This window comes from Homo sapiens, chromosome 13, assembly GCF_000001405.40.
Source record: "Homo sapiens chromosome 13, GRCh38.p14 Primary Assembly".
NCBI lineage: Eukaryota > Metazoa > Chordata > Mammalia > Primates > Hominidae > Homo > Homo sapiens.
Window position 1 is genome coordinate 18899691 of NC_000013.11, and position 27184 is coordinate 18926874.

Sequence of the window (27184 nt, forward strand, 5' to 3'; positions counted from 1 at the left end):
TCAGTGCAGTGCAGAGAATGTGTCCACCTCTTGCAGGGGGGACAAGGAAGGGTCCACGGGACTTTCCCTTGGAGCCCAGTGCCAGCTCTGCTATAGTAAAGGACAGCACTGGGCAGAACCCCATGGCCTTTGGTTCCAGGCCAGTGCCCATAGATACAGCATTTAGACACAACTTGGTCTAAAAGGGAATCCACTACCCTGGTGGGACAAACCTGAGTCCTGACTTGCTTCACCACCAGCTGATTCAAGTGGCCTCAGGCCCCAAATAAATTTCAGTGGCAGGCAGGCCAGAGTCACTTTGGTCCTTGGGTGAGCTCCAACAACCAACGATCTGCTGGTCTGGGAGGCTGTGGGCTTCCTATGTGACATCAGCTGCAGTGGCCACAGGGCTGCCTGTGTTACCCCAGTCCCAACTCCAGGCAGTGCAGTGCAGAGAGAATTCCTTCTCTATGCAAGAAAGAGGAGAACCCGGTGTCAGCCCTACCACAGTGGACACAGCGTCAGGCAGAACACTGTGGCCCTGATCCCAGGCAGGAGCTCCCAGACACCTACAGACCCCCCTGCAGGGAGAAGGGATTCTGCCACCCTGATGGGATGGACCCAAACCCTGGCCAGCTTCATCACCAGCAGACTAACCTGGCTTAGAAACCTAAATAAGTCAGCAGCAGTCAGGCAATATAGTGGCCACAGGACTCAGATAAACCCTAGTGCTGCTCTGGTCTGGGAGGCTGTGGGCTTCAGGTGTGTTGCGCCAGATGCAGTGGCCATGAGAGTGCCCAAATCACACTTCGCCCAGATCCACAAAGCTTGGTGCCCAGATTCCTTGCAAGGGGAAGAAGATAGACGTGAATGAAGAACTTTGCCTGAGAACCCAGGGAACCCCTCCCTTATCTTCTCCAAGTGTGTCATGGCCACCAGGTACCTCAGTCTGCAAAAGTCACTGTGAACCTGAGCTTAAGGTGCCCTCTGGTGCTGTAACAGCTGCAGTGACCACAGGCTTGGGGAACTCAACAGTCTTGAATTTCTTGGAATTTCTGGAAGACTAAAGAAGGACAACAAGCACATACAAGAACAGACTGCAAAAACTGGTATAAATACACACTTATTCAACTCCCAGGCATGAACATATGCTCAAAAGCATTAAGAACATTCAAGGAAATATAACCTCACCCAACAATAAGTAAGTCACCAGTGACCAGAGCTAAAGATGTGAGACTCGGCTGGGTGTGGTGGCTCACACCTGTAATCCCAGAACTTTGGGAGGCTGAGGTGGGTGGATTACCTGAGGTCAGGAGTTCGAAACCAGCCTGACCAACAAAGTGAAACCCCGTCTTTACTAAAAATACAAAAATTAGCTGGGTGTGGTGGCAGGTGCCTGTAGTCCCAGCTATTTGAGAGGCTGAGACAGGATAATTTCTTGAACGTGGGAGGCAGAGGCTGCAGTGAGCCAAGATTGTGCCACTGTACTCCAGGCTGGGTGATGGAATAAGACTCCATCTCTCTCACACACACACACACACACACACACACACACGAAAAGATGTGAGACTCTCCAGACAGGGAAGTAAAAATGGCTGTTTTGAGGATACTCAATGAAATTCAGATATAGAGAAGTAATTCAGAAACTTATCAAAGAAATTTAACAAAGGGAAGTAATTTAAAAAGGTGACAGAAACCTCAAAGCTAAAAAATGCAACTGATGAACTGAAAAATGCATGAGAGGGCCTCAACAGTAGAACTAATCTCAGCACAATAAAGTTCATATATGACAAATCCACAGCTAACATCACAATCAATGGGGAAAAGTTGAAAGATCTTCTCCTAAGATCTGGAACAAGTGTGGCTACTTTTACCACTTGTATTCATCACAGTACTAGAAGTCCTAGCTAGAGGAATTAGATAGGAGAATGCAATAAAAGGCATCCAAATTGGAAATAAAAGGAAGTCAAATTGTCTCTTTTTGCAGGTGACATAATCATATACATATGCAGAACCCTAAAGATTCCACAAAAAACCTACTAGAAATAATAAACACATTTCATAAAGTTGCAAGATACAATATCAATATATAAAAATGAGTAGCACACCCATGTACCAATAGTGAAACACCTAAGAAAGAAATCAAGAAAGCTATTTCATTGCAGTAGTTACCCAATGCCCCCCAAAAAAGATACCTAGAGATAAGCTTAACAAAAAGGCGAAAGATCCCACAATTAAAACTATAAAACATAGACGCAAGATATTAAAGCAGACACAAGTAAATGTAAAGATATCCCATGTCCAAGCACTAGAATATCGTTAAAATATCTGTATCACCCTATGTGATCTAAAAAATCAATGGAATCCATGTTAAATTAGGAAAGAGATTCTTCATAGATACAGGAAAAAAAAAAACAAACGGCCGAGCATGATGGCTCACGCTTGTAATCCCAGCACTTTGGGAGGCCAAAGCGCCTGGATCACGAGGTCAGGAATTTGAGACCAGCCTGAACAAAATGGTGCAACCCCGTCTCTATTACATATACAAAAATTAGCTGTGCATGGTGGCGCACGCCTGTAATCACAGCTACTCAGGAGGCTGAGGCAGGAGAATCGCCTGAACTCAGGAAGCAGTGCTTTCAGTGAGCCGAGATCGCGCCAATGCACTCCAGCCTGGGCGACAGAACGAGACTCCGTCTCAAAAAAAAAAAAAAAAAAAAAAAAAAAATCCTAAAATTCACATGGAAATGCAAAATACCTCAGATAGACAAAAGAATCTTGAATAAAAAGAAAAAAGCTGGAGGCATCACACTACCTGATTTCAAAATATACCACAAATCTAGTAACCAAAACAGCATGGTAGTGGCCAAAGAAAAAAAATAGGTAGGGGACAGACAGAGAGAGACAGACAGAGATACATAGACGAATGACAGACAGACATAGACAAATGAAACAGAATAGAGAACTCAGAAATAAATTCAAGCTTTTACAGTCAACTCTTTTTTTTTTTTTTTTTTTTTTTTTTTTGAGACGGAGTCTCGCTCTGTCGCCCAGGCTGGAGTGCAGTGGCGGGATCTCGGCTCACTGCAAGCTCCGCCTCCCGGGTTCACGCCATTCTCCTGCCTCAGCCTCCCAAGTAGCTGGGACTACAGGCGCCCACCACTACGCCCGGCTAATTTTTTGTATTTTTAGTAGAGACGGGGTTTCACCGTTTTAGCCGGGATGGTCTCGATCTCCTGACCTCGTGATCCGCCCGCCTCGGCCTCCCAAAGTGCTGGGATTACAGGCGTACAGTCAACTCTTTTAACAAAGGCACCAAAAACACACATTCGGGAAGGACAATCTCTTCAATAAACTGTGCTAGGAAAACCCAACACCCACATGTACAAGAATACATCGAGGCTGTTATCTTACCATCTACTGAAAATAAAGATTTAAATGTAGGACATGAAACTATGAAACTACTAGAGAAGAAAACAGCAAAATGCCTCATGAAATTGGTTAGGACAAGGGATTTTCAAATACACATCAAAAACACAAGCAACAAAAAGCAAAAATAGACAAAATGCAATTGCATTAAACTTAAACGCTTCTGCAAAGTAGAGAAAGCCATCAATAGAATGAAGAAACAATCCAGAGAACGGAAGAAAGTATTTGCAAACTATGCATCAGGCAAGGGGTTAATACAACACAAAATATATAAAGAACTCAAACTACTCAAAGCAAAAATACAAATAATCTGATTTAAAACTCAGAAAAAGTTCTACCCAAAAATTTTGTCCCCCACCTTCTTTTCTCAACCACCTTTGGCCCCCTCCCTCTCGCCACCCTTTTTCTTCATCTACCCCAAAACATTTCTCCCACTATTTTTCCCCACTGTCATTTCGCAAAGCCTTCTCTACTCTCCTGCTCACCACCCTTTTCGCCATCCATCTACCCAAAAACTTTTCCCCCCTCACTGGACACCCTCTTTTTCTCCCTTCTGCTCTCATTCTCCTTTTGCTCCTCCATCTACCCAACTTTTCCCTCATATTTTCCCAAGGCCTTCTCGCCATTCCTGCTGCTCGCCACCCGCTTTTCCAACCTCCATCTACCCAAAAACTGTTTTCCCCATCGTCTTTCCCCCCTCCTCCTTGCCACCCTCTTTCCCTTCTCCATCTACGCAAAAACGTCTCCCCACCGTCTTTTCACAAAGCCTTCTCCCCACTCCTGCTCACCACCCTCTTTCTTCCTCCATCTACCCCCGCAAATTTCCCCACCGTCTTTTCACTAAGCCATCCCCGTTCCCACTCGCCCTCTTCTTTCCTCTATCCTTACCATCCTCCTTTTGCCCTCCATCTACCCCAAAACTATTTTCCCCATCGTCTTTTCCCCAACTTTTTCCCTCCTCCCTCTCGCCACCCTCTTTTCTCCTTCCACTTGCCACCCTCTTTTCCCGCTGCGTCTACCCACATTTTACCCACCGTCTGTCTTTTCTTTCCCCACCATCTGTCTTTTCTGCCCACCATCTTTTCACAAAACCTTGTCTCCCTCCCACTCGCCATCCTCTTTTCCCCTCTCCCGCTTGCCACCCTCTTTTCCCCCTCCATGTACCGAAAAACTTTTCTCTCCCCACTGTCTTTTCCTCACGGTCTTTTGGCAAAACCTTGTCTCCCTCTGCTTGCCACCCTCTTTTGTCCCTCCTGCTCACCACCCTCTTTTCCTCATTCCTGCCCCTCCTCTTACATGCCACCTTCCTGTCGCCCTCCATCTACCCCAAAACTATTTTTCCATCGTCGTTTTCCCAATCCTCCTTCCACTCTCCCGCTTGCCACCCTTTCTCTCCTCCATCTACCCAAAAGCTTCTCCCCCAGTTTTTTCTCCCCACTGTCTTTTCTTCCCACCGTCTTTTTGCAAAACCTTCTCCTTCCTCCTACTCGCCACCCTTTTTTCTTCTCCTGATCACCACCCTTTTTTCTCCATCTACTGAAAAAAAAGTATTTCCCCACCATCTTGTCCCCACCGACTTTTCACAAAATCTTCTCTCCCTCCTGCTCACCACCTTCTGTCTTCCCCCTCCCTCTCTGCACCCTCTTTCTTCCTCCCACGTGCCACCCTTTCCCACCTCCATCTACCCAAAATCTTTTTACACATCTTTTCTTTCCCCAGTCTTTCTGTTCTCCTCACCGTGTTTCTCCCCACCGTCTTTTTGCAAACCTTCTCTCCTTCCTACTTGTCCCCGTTTTCCCCCCCCACCACCCTGTCTTTCCTCCTTCTACATGCCACCCTTTTTTACCCCCTAGATACCCAAAAACTTTTTTCAACCATCTTTTCCCCACCGTCTTTTTGCAATGCCTTCTCCTGCTTGCCATCCTCTTTTCCCTTTGCTGCTAGCCACCCTCTTTATCCCTCCATCTACCCAAAAACTATGTACCCCCTCCTACCACTCCAGCCGAGCTGCCGTCTCTGTCGCCAGCACCCACCACAGCGAGGCGAGCCGTGGTGCCACACGCTCCAGCCTCCAGCTGTGGCAAGTGACTACCCCTTCTCCTGGTCCTCTAAGCCTGGCACGGAGCAGCTGCGCAGGCAGCCACACAAGAGCCTGGAATGGCCTGATGCCCCTTCTGCATGCCTTATACATGAGCTTATGCAAATGAGGTTCCTGGACTACATATTCTGATTGGATGAGAGAAAACCTCTAGGCCTATTCTGATTGGACTTTATTTTCATGCTGTGATTGGTTGTCCTAAGACTTGCTCTCATCCAATCAGAATCGAAGCTGGGAGCTCAGCTTAGAGAACAGGAAGTGGGAGCCACATACCCCGAGCTGGCGGCTTGAGCCTGTGGTATCTAGGCTCACCTCACTGCGGTTGGTGGAGGTGATGGAGGTTGCAGCTTGGCCAGCATGGTAGAAAGGTGGCAGGGTAGGTGAGCTATCCAGGGATGCGCTACCCTGGGTAGGAGCACTATCAAGGTCACATTGCCGGTGGGGTATCGGGGGCATGGGTTGGCGGAGTTGGTGGGGGCTATACTGCCTGGTGGTGGGGGTGGTTGTGTGTACTAAGGGGGCTGACCGCCAGCTAGGGGGAGGGTTAGGGGTGCTATCAGCTCCTGCACTGTCATGGCAGGGGGGCAGGTTGGGGGCACTATCTGGGCTGTCACTACCCCCAGCAAGGGCTGGTTGGGGGCACTATCCCTGGCTGCACTGCTGGGGGCAGTGGGGCAGTTTGGGGGCACTATCAGGTTTACATGCCCTGTGGCATGCCGGTGGGGGGGCACTATTGGGGGTTGCACTGCACTGCTGCTTCTGGCAACGGGCTACGGGGGTGGCTGCGATAGCTGTGGCCTCCAAGGAAGGGGCCGTCCTCCTCTTCCCAGACTCTAGATTCTAGAGGGCAACCTCTGTTTGCTCATGCTGGAGCGTGGCAGGTGCACAATGTTTCCTTGGGAATCCTCAGCAGGGTAAGGCCCCCACACCCGCCATGGTTCCCGGGCCTGCCCCTTCTCACTGTGTTGCAGAGACAATCTGGGACCCCTGGGCACGGAGTATTGGGCACCACGGGGGAACAGGGTCCTGTGGGTGGAGGCATCAGAAACAGGAACTGGCACTTGGTTGGAGAGAGCTAGCTGGGTCTGAGTTTCTGCTTCTCCTGCTCACCAAGGAGTGCAGCCAGCGTGGGCCCAGCAGTTCCTGGCCAGCTGGACCTCGCCAGGGGCCGGTTTCAGCAAAGGCAGTCACACCCACCCCAGGTCCCAGTTGTGCCTTTGATGAAACCAGCCCCTGCCACCCAGTGGCCAGCATGACAAGGTGAGCCTCTAACACTACCACTCCCTGCATCCTGTTCTAGGCACGTCTGGCTTTTACCACCCAGTTGCTTCGAGCCAGGAGATGGAGGAGTCATCTGTTGCACGCTGGAGGCTGGAGCCTGCAGATGGCATGGTTCTGTGGCTCACCTCGCTGCAGTTGGTGGCAGAGACAGAGACTGCAGCTTGACCAGAGTGGTGGAGTGGTAGGAGAGTGTCTGCGGGGGCCTCCTGGAGGTGGTAGGAGGCTTGTAGGGTGGGCCGGTGCATTGAGGGCAACAGCAGCGGTGCTCATGTTGGTGTTGGCATTAGTGGTGGCGGCAGCAGCAAGTCTGGGATCCGAGAAGTGGGAGTGGGAATGCTGTGGAGCCCACCGGGCCCAGCCTGGCCTGAAGTGGGGAGGCAGCTGCGGGTGCTGTACTGTGGGCCTAGGTGGCAGCAGTGGAGGCCCAGCCATGGCAAGGAGGAGTCCTCCTCCTTCTCCTGCAGAATCTGGAAGTGCCCTCCTCCTGCTGGTGCCTGGGCCAGGTGTGAGTGGCAACATTGTCTTATTCTTAGCAAAATTTAGCGGGTGACTATTGGTGTATCTTTTAGCTTGGCTTTGTTGTGAAAAGTCTTGAATTTTTTTCAAATTTCATAAATCAGGAGGGGAAATAAGGTATCATAATAGGCTTTGTAATTCCCGCACCTGTTCTTCCTTTCTTTCAGTCTGTTTTTTCTTCTTCTAATCATCATCTTCTTGTTCCTCTTCATTTTCTTATGCTGCTGCTTCTGTTTCTTGTTTATATTCTTGTTTCTCCTCCTCTTGTTTTCATTATCCTAAGCAATGGCCTTAACAAACAACAAACCAAAACTGAGTTAAACATAAACTACTTGTCACCGAGTTGTATTCTTAAAATAATCAGTCCATTACTATGCTTTAGAGATGAGGAAAAACATTGATTGCGTAATTATTTGGTTACTTGAATAGCTATGCTTTCATGATCCTTTTAATGTGTTGTAAGTAGTTATTCAAGGAATCAAAAATGAAGCATCAGATAAAATATTGCTAGCAAACAGCCATTTCATCTCTCTCACATAGTCTGGAGCTATGCAAGAGTCAGGGGGTAATTAGTTCCAATTTATGAGATCATTAAGTGAACTGTATTCCTTTCATTTTATTTCTCTGCCACCATTTTCAAGAGTATTGTCATCTGCATGAGCAAATCTGGTTCATCACATCTTTGCAACAGGAAAAGGAAGGGAGGATCATGTGTATAATGTTTTAAGGCCAAGATTCACAACAAGAACAAAGTCTTTATTAACTTTTGCCTTCAAGAACCTGCAGTGTTGAGCCCTTTTTTATTTCTGGTATTACTACCTTTGGTATGAAATCTTTTTTTAGTGATTACTTGAAGTTTATGCATTTTATTGACTACTTTAAAGAAACAATCTATATTGTATCATTTTTCAAGCCCACAGGAATGCATAAAGTCTATAATTTTGACACTTTTTATTTTTAAGGTTATGAGCATGTAAAATACTGTTGATATGTGTAAGGATATGTAAAAATGCCACTAGATAGCTTATGTTGAAGAGATAGTGTCTAAATTTTTGTCCAGAGTGGATTGGTTGCAGTTTCTTAGGTGTGTTCCTCAATACATTGCCTCAATGTTTTAAAGCATATAGAAATATTAATACTATTTAACCTCATATAGTCCTTTGTAGGTTGCTTAATATTTCTACAGACTAAAGATAGCACAGCCTCCATTAATATTCAGTAATATTAATAAAATTTGGGATATATAGCGTTAGAATCCAACAAATCCAGAGGAAAATTGTTAAATTATATAGCTGTAGAGCAGGAAATGAAACCCAGGTTCCAAGCTCTAAGGGGGCCATAAGCTACCATACAAGTGAATCAGTGACTGGGCATAGAGTCAGCAAAATTACAGGATGGTTAAAAGAGAGCTGTGGAGTCTAACACTATGTAAACATAAAATTTTAAACTGCATGGTGCCTCAGTTTATCTGTCTTTACAATGAAAGTAGTACTAAGTTTTTCTTTTTCTTCTTAGTTGTCTGAATTACTTTCCTAGTCTGTCTTGTTGCCACTCTCGATGCCCACATGAGAGGACCTGAGATAATTTCTGGCAGCCTGAGACTCCATGGGAAAAACAGAAGGTGCCACAGACCCCCTTTTAGGAGAAACCTCTCTTTTCCTCATGGAATCCCAAGAACTGTAAGCAGACAGGTCCCTCTCAAAATCTAAGGCTGTACTGTTTTGCCTTGCATTACCTGATCTTGTTTGATTTGGGTGGGCATAAGAAATTAGTAGGGAGGAGAGATACAAAGAAAATTGTGGATATGAAGATGTGTTTATGGTTAGAAATGTTATGAAGAAATGTTATATGAGAGAGGATCTTGTATGGCAAATTCTTGTCCTAAAGTAGAATGACTAATTATTTAGGAAATAGGGAAAGATAGGACAAGTCAGAAAGTTCAAGCATGTCATAGAGAGTCTCCCTCTGTGATCCAGGTTGGAGTGCAGTGGCATGATCTTGACTCACTGCAACCTCCACCTCCCGGGTTCAAGCCATTCTCTTCCCTCAGCCTCCTCAGTAGCTGGATTACAGGTACCTCCCACCACACCCAGGTAACTTTTTTGTGTTTTTTAGCAGAGAGAGTTCACCGTGTTGGCCAGGCTCATCTCGAACTCCTGACCTCAAGTGATCCAAAAGGCCTCGGCCTCCCAAAGTGCTAGGATCCCAGGTGTGAGCCACCATGCCTACCCTCATCTATGATTTTATTTCAGTATTCTTTCTCTTTTCCTTAGTTTAGTTAAAGCTTGTCAATTTTGATTTTTTTTCCAAAAACCCCCAGCTCTTTTTTCCATTGACTGTTTGTATTTTTTTGTATTTTGTATTTTTTTGTTTCTATTTGTAAAATTTCTGTTCTAATCTTTCTGATAGTCTTTCTACTAATGTTAACATTTGTTTTTTTGTTTTTCTCATTGCTTGAGGTGTATTGTTAGGTTGGCTATTTGAGATCTTTTTACTTTTCTGATGTAGGCATTTATAGCTATGCACTTTTCCTCTTACAGCTGCTTTTGCTGCATCCCACAGGTTTTGTTATGTTGTGTTTCTCTTTTTATTTATTTCAATAAATATTTAATTTTTTTATTTCTTTATTCATCGTTCATGAACATGTATTTTAATTTCCATATGTTTGTACAGTTTTTAAAGTTCCTCCTGTTATTGATTTCTCCTCCTATTCCACTGTGATCAGAAAAGATGCTTGATATGAATTCAGTATTTAAAAATGGGCTGTGACTTGTTATTTGGCCTAACACATAGTCTGTCCTGGAGAATAATCCATGTGCTACTCAGTAGAATGTGCATTGTGCAGTTGCAGAGTGGAAGGCTGTGTAAATGTTAGGTCCATTCCATAGAGATTACAGTTTAACTGATGATTTTTTGTCATCTGGATGATCTGTTCATTGATGATAGTGGAGTGTTCATTATAGATTAGTGTTCAGGTACTCTATTATTGTATTGCAGTCCATCTGTCCTTTAAGGTCTGTTAATATTTGCTTCTGTGTTTAGGTGCTTGAGTGTTGGTTGCATTTGCACTTATAATTGTGATATTGCTGTATTGATTTCTTTCTCATTATAGAATTATCTTTCTATTTTATCTAATACAAGTATAGCTACTCTTGCTTTTTTGTTTCCATTTGTATGGGATATCTTTTACCATCCCTTCATTTTCAATCTATGTATGTCTTTTTAGGTGAACTGAGTTTCTTGTAGGCAGTATATAGTTGGATCTTGTCTTTAAATCCATTCAGCCACTCTGTCTTAATTGGAGAATTTAATTCATTTATATTCAAGGTTATTACAGGTAAAAACATACTACTGCCACTTATTTTCTGGTCGTTTTGCTACTCTCTTTTTTCTTCTGTTATTTCTCTCTTCATTTCTTCCTCTTTCTCTTCTCTCTCTCCTTAGTTCTTTCTTCCTTTCCTTTCCTCCCTCCTTCCCTTTCTTCCTGTCTGTATTTATAGTGAGGTAATTTTCTCTGGGAGTGTGATTTAATTCCTTGCTTTTTAGGTGTCTATTACTTTTAGGGTGTCTGTTACTGAATTTTATTTTCTGGTTACCATGAGGCTAAAGAATATCATTGTAACAAGTGATTTCAAACTGAAGAAAACTTAAGTTTGATTGCAAAGAACAAAAAAGAGAGAAACAAAAAGCTATAAACATTTATTACCCCGTAACTCTATCCCCGCCAACACACACACACGTTGACATTTGGATCTCTTCAATATCTTTTTATATTGCCTCCCAATTTAAAAATTGTTGGGTTATTATTATTTTAATAATTTTGTATTTTAGCCTTTTGTTATTGTTAATTGCTGTTTGCACCTTTGTTCAATAATGTCTTAATTTGTATATATATACACACACACACACACACACACACACACAAATTTCTTAATGGCATGGGCATTTTCTTCACCATTCTTTTTCCAGCCTCTAGTTCCTATGGCCTAGCGAATAGAACACTTACACTAAATGCTTGTCAGATGAGTAAAAGAGCTCTTTACAGTGAGTAGATCTTAACACGTTGCTATGTGTAATTTGATTTGAAATAATTTTCCAATAATTTAACTCATTTTGTTCTTTTTTAAACTTCTATTTTTAGATTGGGGTGCATGTGTAAGATATGCAGGTTTGTTACATAAGTAAACGTGCATTATTGGGGTTGATTGTACAGATTATTGCATCATGCAGGTATTAAGCCTAGTATCTGTTAGTTATGTTTCCAGCTTCTCTCCCTCCCCCAACCCTCCACTCTCTGATAGGCCCTAGTGTGTGTTGTTCTTCTCTGTGTGTCCATGTTCTCATCATTTAGCTTCCACTTAAAAGTGAGAACATGCAGTATTTGGTTTTCTGTTCCTGCTTTAGTTTGCTTAGAATAATGACCTCCAACTCCATCCATGTCCCTGCAAAGGACATTATCTCATTTTTTTGGTGTGGTTGCACGGTATTCCATGGTGTATATGTACCACCACATTTTCTTTATCCAGTCTATCATTGATGGGCATATAGATTAATTCCATGTATTTGCTATTGTGAATAGTGCTGCGACGAACATAGGCATGCATGTGTCTTTGCAATAGAACAATTTATAATCCTTTAGGCATATACATACCCATTAATGGGATTGCTGTGTCGAATGGTAATTCTGTCTTTAGGTCTTTGAGGAATTACCACATTGTCTTCCACAATGGTTGAACTAATTTACACTCCCACCAACCATGTAAAGTGTTCCCTTCTCCCCACAATCTCACCAGCATCTGCTTTTTAACTTTTTAGTAATAGCCATTCTTACTGGCATGAGTTGGTATCTTATTGTGGGTTTGATTTGCATTTCTCTAATGATCAGCGATGTTGAACTTTTTTAATATGCTTGTTGACCACATGTATGTCATCTTTTGAGAAGTGTCTGTTCATGTCCTTTGCCCACTTTTTAATGGCCGTGTTTTTTTCTTGTAACTTTGGTTAAGTTCCTTGTAGATGCTGGATGTTAGACTTTTGTCAGATGCATATTTTTGCCAAAATTTTATCCATCTGTAGGTATCTGTTCGTTCTGGTGATAGTTTATTTTTCTTTTTGCTGTGCAGAAGCTCTTTAATTTAATTAGATCCCATTTGTCAACTTTTGCTTTTGTCGCAATTGCTTTTGGTGTTTTTATCATGAAATCTTTGCTCATGCCTGTGTTCTGAGTAGTATAGCCTAGGTGGTCTTCCAAAGTTTTTACAGTCCACAAACCACTGCCCAAGGAACTCAGAGATGACACAAATAAATATGAAAAGCATTCCATGTTCGTGGATAAGAAGAATCAATATTGTTAAAATGGCCATACTGCCCAAAACAATTTATAGACTCAATGCTATTCCCATTATACTACTACTGACATTCTTCGCAGAACTAGAAAAATCTGTTTTAAAATTCATATGGAATCATAAAAAAGCCCAAATAGCCAAGGCAATCCTAAGCAAAAAGAAAAAAGCTGGAGGTATCACACTACTCAACTTTAAACTATACTACAGAACTACAGTAAGCCAGACAGCATGGTATTTGTACAAGAACAGACACATAAACCAGTGGAACAGAATAGAGAACTCGGAAATAAGACCATACATCTACAAACATCTGATCTTTGACAAACCAGATGAAATCAAGTAATGGGGAAAGTTCTCCCTATTAAATAATCGATGCTGGGATAAGAGGCTAGCCACATAGAAAATTAAAACTGACCCCTTCTTTACATCATATACAAAAAATTGACTCAAGATGAATTAAAGATTTAAATGTAAATTTAACTCATTTTGATACTGTTTCATGTGCATAAAAAATGTAATACCTCTTCAATGTGCTATATCCATCTGCTTGTATTTGTGATTATACTTCTATTGATCCAATCTCAGAAAAATTATTCTGTGTTCAATGAAGGCAATAAGATGGATGGATGATTTAGTTCATACCTTCATTTTCCCTGTTTTGAGGTCACTGTCCTATACTATCTGATGTTCACTGTCTGAAGACCATTGATATGTATATTTTATCAAAAATTTCTTAGTTTATTTAAGGCAAGAGTACAAACCTAGTCCTTATTATGCCATGTGTCTGCAATAAGTTCCAGTGTTATAAAAACATGTGACTTCTAATGTGAATACCAGCCAAAGTAGACTTTACAGGAAAAACAGTACAAAAGAGAAAGAGAAACATTTTATAATGATAAAATAATTGATTCATTTAAAAGACAAAACAATTTGAAATGCATATGCTCTTAATAATATAACTTCAAATTATATAAAGTAAAATTTTACGTAGCTAAAAAAGAACAGCCAAATTCATCATCTAAAGATTTCAAGTGGGGTTTATACCAGGGATGCAGGGATAGTTTAACATAAACAAGTCATAAAGGTGATACATCACATAAACATAATTAAAAACAAAAATTATATGATCATCTCAATAGACAGAAAAAGGATTTGGCAAAATTCAGAATCCCTTTATGGTTAAAATTCTCAGCAAATTTGGCATAGAAGGGGCATACCTCTAGGTGATACAAGCCATCTATAACAAACCCACAGCTGACATCAGACTGAACAGGGCAATTTTAAAAGCATTCCCCGTGAGAATATGATGCCCACTCACCACATCTATTAACCATAGTTCTGGAAGTCCTAGCCAGAGCAATCAGACAAAAGAAAGAAAGGGCATCCAAGTCAGTAAAGAGGAGGTCAAACTGTCACTGATTTCCAATGATATAATTGTGTATCTAGACAACTCTAAAGACTCATCTAAAGAGCTCCTAGATCTGATAAATTCACTTAAGTTTGAGGACACAAAACATCAATATACACAGATCATTAGCACTGCTATACACCAACAACAATCAAGCTGAGAATCAAATCAAGAACTTAATCCCTTTTACAACAACTGCAATATATATATATAAACACACACATATATATACGTATTATATACATATGTATAAGTATTATACTATACCTATTATATAGATATGTATATGTATTATACATATTATAGACATATGTATATGTATTATACTATACATATTATAGACATGTATATGTATTATACTATACATATTATAGCCATATGTATATATATATTATACTATACATATTATATACATATGTATCTCTTAGGAACATCCAAAGCCAAGGAGGTGAAAGATCTCTTCAAGGAAAATTGCAAAACACTGCTGAATCATTGACCACAGAAACAAATAGATAACACATCTCATGCTAATGGATGGGTAGAATCAGTATTGTGAAAATGACCATACTCTCCAAAGCAATATACAGATTCAATGCAATTCTCATCAAAATACCATCATCATTCTTCACAAAACTAGAAAAAACAATCCTAAAATTCATATAGAACCAAAAAAAGAGCCTGCCTAGCCACAGCAAGACCAAACAAAAATAATAAATCTGGATGTATCACATTACCCAACTTCAAACTATATTACAAGGCTATCCTTACCGAAACAACATGGTACTGGTATAAAAATAGGTACATAGACCAATGAAAGAGAATAGAGAACCCAGAAATGAAACCAAACACTTAGCAGCCAACTGGTCTTCGTCAAAGCAAATAAAAACATAAAGTTTGGAAAAGACACCCTATTCAACAAATGGGAATGGAATATTTGGAAAGCCACATGAAGAAGAATGAAACTGAATTCTCATCTCTCATCTTATACAAAAATCGACTCAAGATGGATCGAAGACTTAAATCTAATATCATAAACCATAAAATTTCTACAAGATAACATTGGAAAAAACATTAAAAACATCGGCTTGGTTCTTCATGACCAAGAAACCAAAATCAAACACAACAAAAACAAAGATAAATAGGTTGAACATAATCAGACTAAAAAGCTTCTGCACAGCAAAAGGAAATAATCAGCAAACAGACAACACATAGAGTAGGAGAAAATCTTTGCAATCTATACATCTGTCAAAAACTCATATCCAGAATCCACAAGGAACTCAAACAAATCAGCAAGACAAAAAAAAGTCCATCAAAAAGTGGGCTAAGGACATGAATAGAAAATTCTTAAAAGAAGATATACAAATGGCCAACAAATATATGAAAAAAATGCTCAGCATCACTAATTATCAGGGAAATGCAAAGTAAAAACATAGTGAGATATCACCTTATTCTTGCAAGAATGGCCATACTTTAAAAATCAAAATATAATAGATACTGACATGGATGTGGTGAAAAGGGAACACTTTTGCATTAATGGTGGGAATGTAAACTAGTATAACCACTGTGGAAAACAGTATGGAGGTTCCTTAGAGAACTGAAAGTAGAACCTCCATTTGATTCAGCAATCCCGCTACTGGGTATCTACCTAGAGGAAAATATGTCATTATATGAAGAAGACATGCACATGCATGTTTACAGCAGCACAGTTTGCAATTGTAAAAATAGGGAACCAGTCTAAATACCCATCAACCAATGAATAGATAAAGAAAATGTGGCATGGAATACTACCCAGCCATAAAAAGAAATAAAATAATAGGCCGGGCATGGTGGCTTATGCCTGTAATCCCAGCACTTTGGGAGACCAAAGTAGGCAGATCATCTAAGGTCAGGAGTTCAAGACCAGCCCGGTCAACATGGTGAAACCCCATCTCTACTAAATATACAACAATTAGCTGGGTGTGGTGGCAGACACGTGTAAGACCAGCTACTTGGGAGGCTGAGGCAGGAGAATTGCGTGAACCTGGGAGGCAGAGGTTGCCGTGAGCCAAGATCGTGCCATTGTACTCTAGCTTGGGCAACAAGAGTGAGACTTTGGCTCCAGAAAAGAAAAGAAAAGAAGAAAACATGAAATAATGGCATTTGCAGCAACCTGAATGGACTTGGAGATTATTATTCTAAGTGAAGTAACTCAGGAGTGGAAAATCAAACATTGCATATTCTTACTTATAAATGGGAGCTAAGCTTTTAGGACACAAAATCCTAAGAATAATATAATGGACTTTGGGGACTTGAAAGGAAGGGTGGTAGGAGGGTGAAGGAGACCACACATTCTGCACAGTGTACACTGCTTGGGTGATGGGTGCATCAAAATCTCAGAAACCATTACTAAATAACTTATCATGTAACCAAAAACCACCTCTTCCTCTAAAAACTATTAAAATAAAGACAATTTAACACCTTTCCATCACCACTTGATCAAATGAATAAGATATCAGTACGAAAAAAGAATAGTTAAAAAATAAAACAAATAAATATTTGACATTTATAACCAATTAACAAAATATATATATTTTTCCATTGGTAAATGTTACCAAACATTTAACAAGATGGAATATATGATGAGTTATACATTGTCTCAATATATTTGAACTTTTTATATCATAGAAAGTACATTCTCTGATCACAAGCATATTAAATTATTAATAAATAAAAATCAGATACTTAGAAAAACACAAGCTATCTGGGAAATAAACGATAAACCTCTGTACATTCTGTAACTAATGTTGTTTTAAAAATTCTTTATATTGGGGTGGGTGTGTGTGTGTGTGTGTGTGTGTGTGTGTGTGTTTTGTTATTAGACTTACCATATGTCAAACAAATACGTTAATCTTTCGCAGAACAAATTTTTCCTTGTATTTTTCTCTGTCCTTAATTTCTACTTTTATATTTGCTGTTGCCATTCTTATTCCTTTAGTTTTAATGTAATCTGTTTTTGTAGCTTATCGTGGATGTTTAGATAATTGATTTTGCATTATCTTTTTTAGGATCAATACACAAGACTATAAATATTTTTTAATACTGCTATGTTTGCATCCCACAAGTTGTGATATATAGTAGTATCATTATTTTTCGGTATGAAAGGTTTTCCAACTTCCCTGTGAATTTTTTCTTTGATTCAAGTACAACTTTAAGAGAATGCCTTGAAGGAACACAACGTCTGCGTCTTTTAAGGAAAAAGACAATGATAAACAATTATAGTACAATGTTACAGTTGGAGACTTTTGATACACGGTAATTATTGGTATTATTAAGTCAACTTTTCTGTAAGTCAGAAATTATGCCAAAATGAAAATTTTAAATTAAGTAAGGCTTTTACTCTATTACAAAAACACATCAGGAACTCAAGGATAATACAACTTTAAAAAATGTATGTAAACATGTCATATTAAAAGATTAAGGAAGGAGGATTATACACTTAGCTCCATGGTTTTAGAAAAATACACTAAAAAGTAAATATTTACTCCAAATTTTAATAATAATTCTTAGAAACCGTAAGATTGAAAGTTCTTGTTTGGATAGAGGGCATCTATGAGAAATATATTGTATATTATGTTTAAAGCAAAACATTAGAAAGATATCTTTTATTTTGGAAACTAGGATGCCTGTTATAATTAATTTTAAACGCAAAATTTGAGATGATTTTCAATAAAATAAGAGCAATAAAACTAGAAAATACATGAAAGAGTGAATATCAAGCAGAAAGAATCTAGATTCTTATATATTGAAGAAGTCATAATGATATGGTTAAGATAAAAAGAACTAGGCCGGGCATGGTGGCTCAAGCCTGTAATACCAGCACTTTGGGAGGCTGAGGCAGGTGGATCATGAGGTCATGAGTTCAAGAGTAGCCTGGCCAAGATGGTGAAACCTCGTCTTTACTAAAAATACAAAAATTAGCGAGGCATGATGGTGGGTGCTTGTAATCCCAGCTACTCTGGATGCTGAGGCAGAGAACTGCTTGGACCCAGGAGGCAGAGGTTGCAGTGAGTTGAGATCGTGCCACTGCACTCCAGCCGGGGCGACAGAGCCAGGCTCTGTCTCAAAAAACAAAAAAAAAAAGAACTAATAAGAATGTATAGAACATGGTTAATTGTAAGGTCAGCATAAAACAAATAACATCTTTCTTATACATTATCAAAAGAAAAATGAAAATTATATAAGAAATTCATTTTACAGAGGAAATTTATGTCTACGTGCAAATTGCCTAGGAATAAATTAGCAATAAATACATTGGAATATGGAATATAATCTATTAAAATTTACTGAACTATGTAAAAGAAAAAATTAGAGAATTGCTTTTAATGCATGGCATAAGTCAATATTTAAAGACCTCAATTTTTTCCAGTCTCTCTCTCTTTTTTTTTTTTTTTTTTTTTGAGACAGGGTCTCGCTGTTATCACCAGGCTAGCCCGCAGTGGCACCATCTCAGCTCACTGCAACCTCCGCCTCCCGGGTTCAAGCCATTCTCCTGCCTCATCCTCCCGAGTAGCTAGGACTACAGGCACGTGCCACCACACCCAGCTAATTTTTGTATTTTTAGTAGAGACAGTGTTCCACCATTTGGCCAGGATTGTTTCAAACTTCTGACCTCAAGTGATCCACCTGCCTCAGCCTCCCAAATTGCTGGGATCATAGGCATGAGCCTCCATGCCTGGCCTTTACTATTAATTCACAGTAATATCAGTCTGTTCCATCTAGGATACTTTTTGAAACCTAATAATTTCTTTCTAAAGTTTATATGGAAGACTAGATGGGTGGAAGTGGGAATTACAAAGAAACATTTAAAAACAGTAAAATGTCTTACCAATTTATGGATCCCTGCCTATACTTATAAAAATATTATATTTATCTAAACATGATAACCATGTTAATTCAAACCAGACAATAATGATGGAATAGCAAAATTAAATAATGAAAGAGGAAGACTAAATATGTGTACTATAGTTCAGATTTTGTTAAATTTGGTCTTATTTTTTTTTTTTTTTTGTGGGACGGAGTCTCACTCTGTCACCCAGGCTAGGGTGCAGTGGCGCGATCTCTGCTCACTGCAAGCTCCACCCCCGGGTTCATGCCATTCTCCTCCCTCAGCCTCCCGAGCAGCTGGGACTACAGGTGCCCGCCACATACCTGGCTAATTTTTTGTATTTTTAGTAGAGATGGGGTTTCACGGTGTTAGCCAGGATGGTCTCGAACTCCTGACCTCGTGATCCACCCGTCTCAGCCTCCCAAAGTGCTGGGATTACAGGCATGAGCCACTGTGCCCGGCCAAATTTGGTCTTTCAAATCAATGATATTATTCAATATTATTTATACCACACAGATGTAAATGCTGTATTATGCTGAAATATTTAAGCATTTGTTTTTGTGCCCCCAGTCAAATGATCACAGATCACAGATCACATACATCTATGATATGTATATAATAGTGAAAATCCTACATCCCTGAGATAATTACTTGTTGATTTAATTTCTGCTATTTTCTATTACTAGATAAACTGCATTTATGTTTTTAAATAGAATTCACCGTGTGTAGTGCATACACATGTGAGGTGTGCACACGTACACATATGCCCTCATACGTGTGCATAAGCATACTCAGGTACACTTATTTTTTAGTTTATGCTAGCTTTGTATGAGTAATTTCTAGTTTTTTCATGTTTTGGTTTTGAATCCATTTATACATTAAGGAAATTATGCATTCTTTCTTTTCCTTTCTGAGCTATGAATTCTGGGCCCAGGGACTTTATTAGAGGAATTCTTTGATGAAGTTCTTTGATAACCTTCTCATTAATTATTTGTATGACAAATATTTTAGTATTGATTTCTTCTAGAGTCAGTTTTGATTATTTCAGACCACACATTTTAAAAAATGATTTGAGATTGGCACTTCATTTTTGGTTTATGTTATGTCATTAATTATAATTCCTGTTTTTTCTCCTGATTTTCCATATTCTGTTTATATCATTGTACTTTTTGAGTAGCCAAATATATTTTTAAAAATATTCTCATGCCATGGAAGAAAGAACCTAAACACCTTTTGTGTGATCCATATCACTAGTTAGAATAAAGATCCAATAGACAATTTTAAATGCTATTAAGTTTTGATCAAATATTATTTCTCCACACCAAAATACCAAGTGAATGATGTGAAGTGTAAACAACCATCTATGTTTCATGTTACTGTCATACACTTGTTTCCTTCAGCATAATGTTAGCAAAAATTGTGTGTGCAGTCATCAGATAAATTTTCTGGGCATGATTTCCTTCCAGATGTAATTTTATGATCGTCCATTTTCCAATTTCCTATGAAATTCACTCATTTAGTAAGAATTTAGTGAATATCTTCTGTGCACACTGCTTTGTACTGAAATTGGTGATTTAAAAAGAAGTTAAAATGTGTTGTCTATTAATACTTTCTGGGAACATTCACTGTACATGTGCATCAAAGACATGCACATAGGAAGAATCTGCAACAATTCAGTTTACATACAATATGAACTATAAAAATGTGTGATACAGAAAATGTGTCTAAAATAACAAACTAGCCCTACAGGAAATAAATTAGAAAGACAATAAGAATCTGTACTTGAACTGGACATTGAATAATAAATAAATTTTAAGAGCCAACAGGAATAGAAAGACAATTGGAAAATTAGGTATATGAAAATAATATTTTTTGAAAACCTCTTTTCTGTTTTTATTCCATTAAAATTTTAGTATGTTGGCACAAGATAAGTCTAAGAGATTACCATAGAATAGTAAATATGTGCTATAGACCTTAATGGTTTTCTAAATGCAGAAGTTTATTATATGGTTTAAGTCTGTATTGATTCAGAAAAAAATGCATTATTTTTATGTTTACTTTCCCTGCTGAGTCATTTGGCCTTATTTTTAGAAATGTATATGGGTTATTCACATTATATCAACCACATGTATAGACAATTGAAGAAAGCTATAAACAAAAAAAAATTGCTCTGATCCTCACATAATTTATATTCTAGAAACAAAAGATACAATTTAATAAACAAGTCAGATAATATGCACTTTATGATAGGAGACATCATCCACGTCAAAGGTTCATAAACAATCCCCTGGATATGACCACGGCATGCCAATATATGTATTGTGGAAATATCATAATGTCGTAACTGAGCGAGTTGTAGAGAAACCCCACACTGTGAGACGAATTCAGGAGTCCTTTATTAGCTGGCAACCGAGAGACCGCTAGTGCTCAAAATTCTCTCAGCCCCGGAGAAGGGGCTAGATTTTCTTTTATACTTTGGTTTAGAAAGGGGAGGAGGAGCTTGGCTGAAGCAATCTTACAGAAGCAAAACAGGCAAAAAAGTTAAAAGGACAAATGGTTATGGGAAAACAAACAGTTCCAGGTGCAGGGGCTTTAAATCTATCATGAGGTGATAGACGTGGGGACTTTGGGTGCTATCAACTGGACACAAATGCGGGGGCTTTGGGTCCTATCAGCTGGGCGAATTCCTGGGAACTGCAGATATAGCTTGCCACAGTGTCTTATCAGTTAATTGGGTTCTTTGATGTGCTAGGAGTCAGCCTGCACAAGTTAAGTCCTTGAGGAACGGGGGTGGGTAAGAGGCTGCAAGGGGCTGCAAGTGAAGGAGCCAAACTGGAGTTTGTGTGGCTCTCTCAGCTAAGGGAGAGTCAATTCAGGTTAAAACAAGGCAGGATGTCACAATAAGACCTTCCGTGTGAAAAATATTTGAAAGGAATCCTGGACTCAAATGAATATGTAAAAAGTTTTTATAGAATGTTAAGCAGGAAATGATTGTGATTTGAAATAACACAGGTGGGAATGGAAAGAGTAAATAGACCAAGGAAACATTTGAGAGAAACATACTTTGTGATGTTGTATTTATGCTGCAACGGAACGGAGAAAAGGTATAAATGATTATTTTTCAAATTTTTGGCTTAAAAATGTGTTAATCCAGTGCCTGATACAGGGGGTATTAGTTAACACTAACTGCTTTGGTTGCCAGGTAAAGAAACTCTACTTTGTCAGGAAAAGGCAGGAGTCAATGAGCTATGATCCACGGCCAAATTGGTCTTGCCATCTGTTTTTGTAAATCAAGTTTAATTGCAACACAGCCATATCCGACACTGGAGCTTAATAGTTGCACCCAAACCTTATGTTCCATAAAACCTAAAATATTTGCAATCTAGCCCTTTACAGAAGATGCTTACTGACCTTGGGCTAAAACGGAACAGTAAAATTCATCAGTGTTCAGTGTGTTTTCAGGTGTTCAGACAGTGTTATCCGGACTCTGCCTCTGCATCTTTCAGTTCTGCCTCAGCATCGGCTCCTGCTTCAGTAGGCTCAGAAGGTGCTTCACTGAGCCAGCAACATTACCCTATCCATTTAGAATCCAGAGGGAGTAAACTTTGTCCAAAAATTTTAGCTAAGTTCATGGAAGTCACCGTCTGTACTGAGGTCTGGATTTCATGGCTTCTATGGAGTTATAAGTGGAATAAAGTCATTTGGACTGAGGATTTGGAGTCTCCAAAGGAAAATCATGGTACTGTTATTACCCACACCTGATGTCCAGCATATTGGGAACATAGGAGAAGCATAACGTCTTGAAAGAGAAAAAAATATTTAATTTTAGTCATAATGAGTTAAAAAGATACAGTAATTAAATAAATGAATACTCATGCAGAACATATGAGCTAGATAAAGTGTTGGTCTTTGGAGAATTTAATCTATATTGAGTCTATTGTCTCTCACAATGCTGCTGTGAAATACATGTCTCCACATTTCAGATGAGAAAATTGAGGGAAACTGAAGATATTCAGAAATAATAGCAACCAACTAATACTATTTATTTACTATTTGCTGAATAATTTCCTAAATAAATTTTTAAAGTAATTATCTTTCCTGGCAATGCATAATTATTGAGAAGTCACTGTTATAAGCATCAAATGCCTAGCTATGTACAAAAAGACAAAGTCTCTGCTGTCTGGGAAATCATGCTACTATGACATAATAGTAAGCAGGTAGAAAAAGTTGGCTTTCAATACTTAAATACCATCAGCAAAGTATGATGGGAGGCCTTCATTTTAAATGAATGCTGTATGTTTAGCCCAACTCCCTCTAAACATAACTGATATATGAATTGATATCGTACTAGATATTTCTGTTTTTGAGTCTCAGCATAATTTTGAGTGGAGAAAAAATATACATATATCTTTATCTGCAGTGAGATGCTCCTTCTATGTAAAGAAAATTGAAATAGAATTGTGTTGTTTCAGAAAAGCAAGATTAAATTTCTTTTGTTTAATAAATGTAAATTATTTACTTATTGAAAGTAGGTAAGGGGAAGATCATGATCACAGTTAATGATTATTGAGTCCTTGAAAAATACCAAATAGTCTTCACTTAAATCATCTTTAGATTAACTGGCATTATTATAAACCTATTTTACCAGCATAGAAATTTTTGTGGTCAGCTGGCTGTTAATGCACCATACGCCGTATAGTCAGGATTTGAAGCCAGTGAGATACAGCTGAGCAGCATGCTTCTACTCACTACCCCATGATGCCTCCATAGAACCCCGTGGTTTTCATTGGTGCTGCTTGTTCTCTTGTCTTTGCAGTTGACTCAGAGAAGTATAAAGGAAATTGCAGCCCCTTTCCTGATAATATCAGGGATAGGAAAGTGACTGCAAACATTGAACACAATTTTAAGAGTAAGAAATGCTTGGACTCACTGTTTCCTGAATCACATAGTGCAGAATATGAATTCAGGCAGTGGCTGACTTTGTCGTCCAACTGTATAAGCAAGGCAGTAGACTCCAGGAGGGAATCTGAGATAAGTTTTTTAATTTGTTTTAGTTATTGTGTTTAGTAACCTGTGACACCTGGAGGTGGAGTTTCTGTGGTCCTCTTTAACTCTAAACGGATTATGGAGCAAGTTGATAAATAGTCCATCACCTAGAAAACAGTTATGAAGAACAGGCCTCAAAAAACAACTTCATTAATGTCCATGTTTTTGGAAAGGAAATTCTCCCTTATGCTTTTCACAGTTATAGAAATCTCAGGCAAAAAAAAAGCCTTTTCATAAGTATTAGCACATACATTTTTTTAAAATAATGAGAATGTTTTAAATGTCACAGAAAATATAAGGAGACATAATAGTTACATTTCAATAATACACTTAACGTACAAAGTAGTAAAAAATCGTATGTTGTAATAGATGGGAATCGTATGTTGTAATAGATGGGAAATAGTAATTTGGTTCACAGTATTTGGAGCATGTTCATTAATCTAGATTAATACATTGTATATTTAATTTAGGTAGAAATAATATTTTTATTTTATAATTATATAAGAACATAGCTATTTTTCAAATTTATACATTATTTCCTTAGAATCTGAAACTAAAATTTGGTTTTAACTGTATTGTCACCTTAGTTTTTCTTTTTGGAGATATGTAATTTAGGTCAGCTTAGTAATATCCAGAATTTACACCTGTAAAATTTAGCAGGATTTTAAGATATACCGATATTGTCAAGAAAGTATTAAATAAATCATAAATTAATGACAATTAATGATAAAATAATACTAACAATAATCATGGAAAACATTGATCTTATTATCCTTGAAATACCAAAGAATTGGCACAACGATGGGATTTTTTCAGATTAAATGATCTAAATAATTGCTTCAGTCTTCTATTATACTTTCCCAAACTAGATTCTTAGGACTTTATGATATGTGGTAGTTAAGAGTATACAGAATGGAAGAAATAACATCCAGTAAGTTGTTTGCTTAACATACTTATCACAGTTCTCACTTATAAGCTAATTTAAGCAATCTTTTTTAGGTATGCATGTTCTAAGCTAAATCTAACATGGTTTTATTTTCTGATCTCAAAGAAGATAAATCTTAATTCTACTGAAGATATTGTTATCAATATCACTGTCTCATAAGCTTGCTAATATTTAGATATTGTGATACATACATACATACATACTTGATAAAATATAGGAGTAGACACACCTAGAAACAGATCTACCTTTTTTAATGAGGCTTTAGCTCATGGCAACTTGCGCACAAAGAAAGCATGACTGTAGCATCCATAGTAATAATATACAGGAGTAATCCTACTTCACTGAAGTACATTTATGAAAGGACAGCATTGTACCACAAGAAAGGTCATAAATTATAATGATACTGGTGAATGGATTTGTTAGAGAAAATAAGTAAAATGGTATTCAATATGTGAGAATCATTTAACACTCAAAATTTTATTTTTTTCGCTAACTTCTATGAAACTTTCTATTGTTTTTTTCTGGGATTTGACTTCTCCATTTGGCGAGCTGTCATTTTGACAGGGGTTAACACCAAAGATCATCTTTCTGGAGGGCCATTTTACTAGAAAGCTTGAAGACAGCTGTGGTGGGATTTGCTTTATATTAAACCCAGTTTAGAGGAGAATGCAAAGTCCCCAGGTATACTGTTAAAGCAGGGCATTTCAAAGTAACATCTTGCTTGGTTGCCACTGTGAACTGCTATATCTTTATATTGTTGAAGCAGTATTTTTTCCCTCCGCCATTAAAGGTATTAATTGTAAGTGCTTGAGAAGCACTTGTAACAAAGCACCTCTGCTCCTACTATCATTTATTTAGTTTTAGCTTTCAAAACATAGAGAAATAACTGTTGTTTTATTTTTATATAACAGCACTTTAAAATGTTTATTTTTCTGCTGTTCCTAAACAAAGTCATAAAGTCATCTCCATTAGAGATCTTCCTGCTTATTGCAAACATCAAAAATTACCCATATGTGCTGAATAATTTTCACACTATATGAAAGCTTCAGGTTTTCCTTATAATTTTTCCCAATCTAGAATTTTGAATCTACATGGTTTAAGTAGTCCAGACCTTTGGTACCCAGATATAGATGAATTAATCATTGATGACTAATATATATTTTATATAGTTTGAATTTTATTAATTTGTATAATGAAGGGAACTTCAGCCTGTTGTATTCTATGGGAAAACAATCATCTGATGTACAGTGTTTACTTTCCAGCTTTGCAGCTATAGTGACTGGAAATGATAAAGTAGTTCCCAGAATTTCAGTGTTAATTACAGTGTAGTATATCATTGGGACCTTCTAGGATATTGTAGCTGTTATTGTGATACTCTGTCAGTTTTCCTCTTCGGGGCCTCCAAGAAACCCATTTCCCAGTTTATGAGGAAGACCATTTACAGCTTCATCACTCAATTAGGAATTGCCCTCAACCACAGGAAACTGCATAGTCAAGATTATGCCCATTGTGTGAATGCATCCCGAGGTCCATTGTTGTCCTATGGTGGGGATACCAAAGTTGAACTCTTGTAACTCAACTTGGAACAGTGTGAAGGCTCATTTTAAGTCCAGAGCTGTTTATAGAATCAGCAGAATCCTCCATTGTCACCTTATTGTTTGGCAGCTTCCCCCTCTGTCTAATCCTGCATTTCTCACTTCTTTACAGATATGTATCTCAAGAGCACTCCACAACAAAGATTCTGCCTGCAATCCTCCACTTCAAGGTCTGTTCCAGGAAACCTGTGTAACACAGTTATGCATAGAGTGGTCTTAGGAAGCTGACTCTAACATGAAAATTTAGAGTTGGATCTTTTGCTGACATATTGAATATTCATAAGAGCATATGATACATTTGTCTATCATAAACATGTCATTTCAAAAAACCCTCAAAGTTGCCTTGTAGAACATAATTTTAAAACTAGTGTGTAGGAATATTTCATATCAGTTATTCAGTCTTCTTAATATCTGAACCGAAATTAATCTTCCATTCTGCTTTTATTTATAAATAATGATTTATTGTCAGATTCAATAATTTATATTTTCATTTATTCTAAGGTAGGAAATACCAGCATAAAAATAAATTATTTGAAACAAATCACATTGTTGTCCCATTTTACCATTACTCACATGTAGAAGATATTGTTTTTAACAAAAACAATAAGAGAAACAGAAACTACCATTTATTAACTGATGCTTACTGGAAGCTTTAGAAGGATCTTATTTAACTTTCA

The 27184-nt window shown here is 38.5% G+C and overlaps 1 long non-coding RNA gene across 1 annotated transcript; it reads left to right on the top strand.

Annotated features, from left to right (window-relative positions):
• The first annotated feature begins 5748 nt into the window (after window positions 1–5748).
• Window positions 5749–27051, top strand: LINC00408 (long intergenic non-protein coding RNA 408). The gene is made up of 6 exons (NR_104118.1): window positions 5749–5886; window positions 6337–6420; window positions 6807–6968; window positions 7945–8112; window positions 9280–9376; window positions 26620–27051. It is a non-coding gene; the product is annotated as a long intergenic non-protein coding RNA 408 (long non-coding RNA).
• Window positions 27052–27184: the final 133 nt, after the last annotated feature.